This window comes from Homo sapiens, chromosome 20 (genome assembly GCF_000001405.40).
Source record: "Homo sapiens chromosome 20, GRCh38.p14 Primary Assembly".
Lineage (NCBI taxonomy): Eukaryota > Metazoa > Chordata > Mammalia > Primates > Hominidae > Homo > Homo sapiens.
Genome location: NC_000020.11, coordinates 16,048,417 through 16,054,416, shown reverse-complemented (window position 1 = coordinate 16,054,416; position 6,000 = coordinate 16,048,417). Strand labels below are relative to the sequence as shown.

The 6,000-nt window shown below is 39.2% G+C and overlaps 1 protein-coding gene across 8 annotated transcripts in view; it reads right to left on the bottom strand.

Annotated features, from left to right (window-relative positions):
* MACROD2 (mono-ADP ribosylhydrolase 2) overlaps window positions 1,220-6,000 on the bottom strand; it is a 2,057,682-nt gene continuing 2,052,901 nt past the window's right edge. For 7 of the 8 annotated variants that reach the window (NM_001351661.2, NM_080676.6, NM_001351664.2 and 4 more), the window contains one exon: window positions 1,220-4,587. In NM_001351661.2, coding sequence (NP_001338590.1) covers window positions 4,541-4,587 — 47 coding nt within the window. In that variant the 3' untranslated portion in view covers window positions 1,220-4,540. The remainder of the gene's footprint in view (window positions 4,588-6,000) is intronic. The other variant, NM_001351663.2, reaches the window with a different exon arrangement.

The following is a 6,000-nucleotide window of genomic DNA, read 5'->3' as shown; positions in this document are numbered from 1 at the left end:
TGTTGGGGGAGAAACACAAGAGGGCCAGGCCAAGATATGAAAATTGGTTAGAGATGAAAAACTGCATCTAGCAGGGCTAGATTCATGTCACATTATGTTTTTTTTTCTTTTTTTTTTTTTTTTGTTTGGTTTGGTTTTTGAGATGGAGTCTCTCTCTGTCACCCAGGCTGGAGTGCAGTGGCATGATCTCAGCTCACTGCAACCTTCATCTCCTGGGTTCAAGCGATTCTCCCGAGTAGCTGGGATTACAGGCACCTGCCACCATGCCTGGCTGATTTTTGTATTTTTAGTAGAGATGGGGTTTCACCATGTTGGCTAGGCTGGTCTCAAACTCCTGACCTCAGGTGATCCGCCTGCCTCGGCCCCCCAAAGTGCTGGGATTACAGGCGTGAGCTACTGCACCTGGCCATTTCACGTTATCTTCACTGCTATTCTGAAGCATTTGTGTTGCGGTTGCCCATTGCAGCATAAGACTGTCCTATCTATAATTTTTGTCTCATCCAACCTTGTTTATTATGGGAAAAACACTTCAGTGGTACAGCAGTTTGGAAAACCTTATTATCCTTAAACTATTAAGTATCTGGCTTTGTTTGACAAAGGGGTTGGCTTTCTGTATTGCCTCCTCAAATAATAATGCTGATACCTTCTGTAGGAGATGAAGGGAGCTAAATTTGGTGGCAAGCGTATTCCATTTTCAAAAGAACACTGAGTTTTTCCTGTAGCGATTTTTTGGTGGCCTACTGCTAAGCTCTTAACAATTCCGTAATTCTGTCAATTCCACCAACAGTAGACCGAGAATCACTGCTGCCATGATTGTAGTGTCAGCGTAGTGACTGTATCATAAAAGGTGCTCACTAAAAATTCCAGCCATGGTCATGGGTTCTGAAAGATAGACCAATGTTCACAGGACCGTTGGCTTTATCTCAACAACTTATAACTTGCATTTCAGAGGCTGATGCTAGGGTAAGTAATTATCTAGTATTCAGAGAAAATTTAGACACTGGGATTTGCAGCTATACAAAACTACTCTATAGTTTAAAATTTGAAAAACACGGCCAACACGCTGACCAGTCTTAGTAAGGGAAAACTATCAGTAAGTTAAAGCTGACTTACAGGAATAATTTTAAATATATATATTTGCAGTCAAATAGTATTAAGTGAGTAGTTTTAGTTACTCATTGCTTGTGGCTAAAGAACAAATTTCACAAAACACAGATAATTTCACATTATCCTCTCAAACAAATTTTATTTGTATTCTGCTCTAACAAATATAGTATGAAGGCAACAGTTGTTTTTTAGTGTATGGCACAGATGAAAAGAAACAAACAGATTTAGAAGCAGTCCAGCATTTAAATGCCGGTTTAACAAAAGAGGCACGTATTATCCTATTTAGCAGTTTATACCAGATATCAGAAGCCATTTTTTTTTCCTTGCAAGCAACAGACTACATTTATTTGCATTAAGTAAAAACATATCTTGATCAAGAAAATTACTTTTTTTCTGATTTTCCTTTATATCACAAATGTCAGGGTAAGGCAAATCCTTAATGAATCATGTAATAAAAACCCTATTCCCCAAGAAAATATATTGAACATATTCTGCTAACTTTGTTATTTTTCAAAGCAAAGCCGACATGCGCCACATACAGAGAAATGTCTTTTCAAATCAAGTGCATCAAGCAGAACTGTATTAATTCACAAAGAGGCTTTTCAGTGTTTCATAGAAAGATTTACAATTAGCTGCAGTGATTAATATGTGACCCAGTATCACAGACAGTGATTCGGATGCCTTCTTTGTAATCTTTTATGAAAGAAGACTTGTCCATCATCTGAATAGTTACCAGCTAGAGGAAAAGCCCCTTTGTCTCTCCTACAGCGAGGACCATTTTAATTAGAACTATTATGGTGAAGGCCTACTTTGATCCTCTGTATGCAAACATGACTAACATAGGGCTATTTTCCTCCCTCCCTCCTGTAACTCTTCATGCCACATAGCTGTATTGGAGTTTGGTTGGAAATTGACATCCAGAATTTATGTGCGGGAAAATCAATCAGCTTTTCAAATCTATTTCATTGTACAGCCTGTGCAATGGCAGCACCAGCAAATAAAGGTTTTCTGTGTTCAGGTGTCTTTGATCTGGCTATAGTTAGATTGTTAATATTTCACTATTGAATTGGAAATTAACTTTATCATTTGTTTTAAAGCATAAAACTGTATAGCCAAATAACAACCAAAAAGCATGACAAAGCAAAAATGAAAACACAATCTAATTATAGATGGAAGAATAAACAAATTCAGGAGTCGGGCTGAAGATATTTATTCCTCATTCTCTTAGTTTCCTGGATACAAAGATTACTTTCATTCTTCTAGAATTTTTAGGCAGAGAGAATTCCCTCCTTCCACTTCTAGCCCACCCACATTTGAAATAAATGAATAAAATGACTGTCATTGATGATAAGGAGAATGCCAGGGCTGGATAATTTCCATCCTGGCTGTTTCTAGCAAGGACATTAGGTCTCTTCCATCATTGTTCATTAGAAAATCTCTGTCCCTCTGTTTCCCTCATGTTTTTTTCAACTGTAACTCATTACTGAGGCTAAGTAGCACTAACATTTGGGAGTCACAAGAAAAACGAGCTTCTAGCAGATTGCACTTGTCAAATACTTCACAAGAATGACGGCAACTTTCAATTGAGTTATAAAGATGGCATGAAATGTAGAAACTGTCAATATTTGGATGACATCGTTTCTTGGATTCTTTAAAATGAGCCTTTTCGTTACTTTTCTGAAAAGCAACAACATCTAACGGCAATAGAGGATATAGATGCTTCCATATCAAACTGGAATAGCAACAGAAGGCCATAATCCCACATTATGAGGTCACGTAAATGTCATTCTTGCTGATGTCTTGATTTTATTAAAAAAAATTTGTTAGAATATAGTGCATATGCTGAAGTATAGCTTGTTAACTATTCCAGTATATCAAATAAGCCATCCAGAAGGGGTAACAAATTCAGAAAGGCTAAAACCAAAGTCATAGGAAGATAAGATGAATTTTCCATCAAAAAAGTGCAAAACTGAAGATTTTGATGGGATATTTAGAAAGCAGAACATCCTTTTATTTTAGAAATAATAATCCACTATTTTTCTCCCTCTGTTAAGGAAAAACAATATAAGTAAGTTTTAGTTCTAAAGCCCTTACAAGGAAGATGGATTTAAGAAGATATGCAACAAACGATATGTTTCCACTGAAAACAATGACATGACTTTGGAACCCGGGGAGGCTGTGGGAAGTAGGCATCTGGCCTTATACTGGCTCTAGGATAGATATTGGTGATGATGCCTGGCATCCTCATGGTCGCCATCCCTTGTGCCCACTATACCACTGGCATCTTGGGTTTTTAGTACTGCTGCCCCCCTTCAGAGCTGTATCCTCCCCTTCAGGGTTTTCTGGGTGAGGGGACCAACCATTGAATCAGCCTTGAACTTGGCATAAACAAGTGACAGCATTTAAACACAGGCCAGGAAGGCAGAACTGCAAGCAAAAGCTCTAATTTCCTGTAATTTCAAATGAGACCACTCTGTGGGCTGTCAAGCCTTGGGTGAAGACAGGATATTCTTTTATGGAAAACTCACAGCAATTTCAGGAGGAGCTTTTGATATTCATAGGCATATGTTTGGGTCCTAAATGCACTGCCCCTTTTCTTAGCTTTTAACTGTAACACCTAGCAAAGGGCCATCCTTTACAGTTATGCAGCAGAGAGTCACCTCTTGCTGGTAGTCTCCATGTGAAGACCTCATGAACCAAGTAAGCTCTGCTGAAAGTCAGTGTCAAAGAAGGATGCACCTGCCACCATGGTTAGGAAGGAAGAGACCCAGATGGCTGCCAGGGCCCACCCTTCTGTTATGCCTCTGCACTCTGCTCTGGAAAAAATTCAGCTTCCATATTTCTCATTAGCCACTTGGAACAAATTGTGCCTTGGGAACCCTGAAGAAAATATTTTCACCTCATTGTCCAGACCTTTTCCAAGTGGTTTCCGAGGCTTTTGCCCATTTTCTATCCTGCCTCCTCTGTCTGGGGATTATACTGCTGCTGGGCTCATTGATTCCTAAAATTTATCCTGCAGCTTATCAAACCACTGTCTTCCTCCCCTTCCTTTGAATAAACCACTGTGTGACCAGCTTTGTGAAATAACCAAGAAAGCAGACAGGGGCCAGGATACACATGTGAGTGTTCAATCAAGCCACTGTGACCCTGGGGCAAAGTTGTAAGAGAAAAGACAGAAATTACAAGGATAATGCCTGAAAGATGCGTCAACATGGGTCCCTCCACCAAATTAAAGGAAACTTTTTTTTTCTTTTTTTTCTTTCTTTTTCTGCAGATAAACGGAACAAAATGCAGCTGGAGAAATTAGAGTAAAGGATTCCCCGTCCTTCCATGGGACTTGCCTTCCCCCCACCCCCACCCTCCTCCACAGCGTGTGCTGCTATCTTCCCGAGCTCCCCCAGAGCCAGGAGAGGCCTTGCGATGCTGAGGATTGTCATTTAGTTCCATTTCTTTGTTCCTTCGCTTCATCTTGTGCCCCTGCTGAAGACAAAGAGAAGCCATTTGTTAGATTAAAGATAAGACATCTTCACAGGCTTAGCAAGGAATACATTTTTAATACAGCCATTTAAATGTCTCTCACCCCTCACATAGGCCCAGAAATATCTTATTTGACTATCAAAGAGCTTTAGATGTCTGAACTGTAATTGCTGGCACATGGTATCTTTAAAGAGCATATAAATCACTGTTAATAAATGTATGCCACATTGACAACGAGCTTTGGCTGATGGGGACGATTAACTCAATTCTTCAAAGTATTCGTTGAAAACTGTAACCCTGAGTTGATGTGGCTTCCCTTTTCAGGCCCATGCTCACACTCTAGTTTCCAGGGATCAGCATATAAATAATAACAATTTTCATAATGCTGCTTTGCAAAAGTCATTGATGGTTATGCCACCACTTCAGATTGTACTTATTAAATTATCTGCCTTATTCACTACCCATGAGAGGACACTAAGAAGACACTGTGCCTTGCAAAAACCTATACTCTTTATTTTTTTTAGATTTTTAAAATTGAGGTATAATCTGCCTACAGGAAAACACACAGATCTTAAGCATACATTTCAATCTGTTTTGAAAAATGCATACATTAAACCCACACCACCAAGAAGATATACATGACATCACCCTGGAAAGTTCCCTTCCCTACTACCCCACTCCTGCTGGAATGAACAAATGATCTGATTTCTATCTCCATAAATTAGTTTTTTTCTGCCCTAGGACTCCCTGCTAATGGAATCATACAAGTACCTCATTGTGTCTGTCTCCTTTCACTCAGTGTAATGCTTCTGAGATTCATTCATGTTGCTGCTTTGTTAACAGTAATCTGTTCCTCTTCATTGCTAACTAGAATTCCCATGTATGTATATGTCACTTTTTAAAGTTCATTTTCTTGCTGCGAGACATTTGTGTTGTGTCAAGTTTGGGGCTTTTGTGAGCATATCTGCTATGTGTATTCTTGTACAAGGCTTTTGTGAATATAGGTTTTCATTTCTCTCAAATACTCGGGAACAGAATTGTGGGGCCATAGGATGGATACATACTTTACAAGAAACTAACAATTTTTTAAAAGTGGCTGAACCATTTTATATGTCCCCCAGCCATGTATAAGAGTTCTAGCTCCTCCACATCCTCTGTAACATTTGGTGGTGTTAACTTTATAATTCAATACTAGTGGGATCGTGGTGGGATTTCCTTGTGGTTCTGTATTTTATATCTGCGGTCCCTGGTTTTCAGTAATCTCAGTCCAAATTAAGTTAAACCTGGAGATGCTTGGTGGGTATCAATCAAATACACAGCCCTACACTGCCTAGTCTCCTTGTAGAACTCTTATTGAACTTAACATGTCTTGGTTATTCTCTTCTTCTCCTTCATGTCTCTTCACGTGTCTTTGAT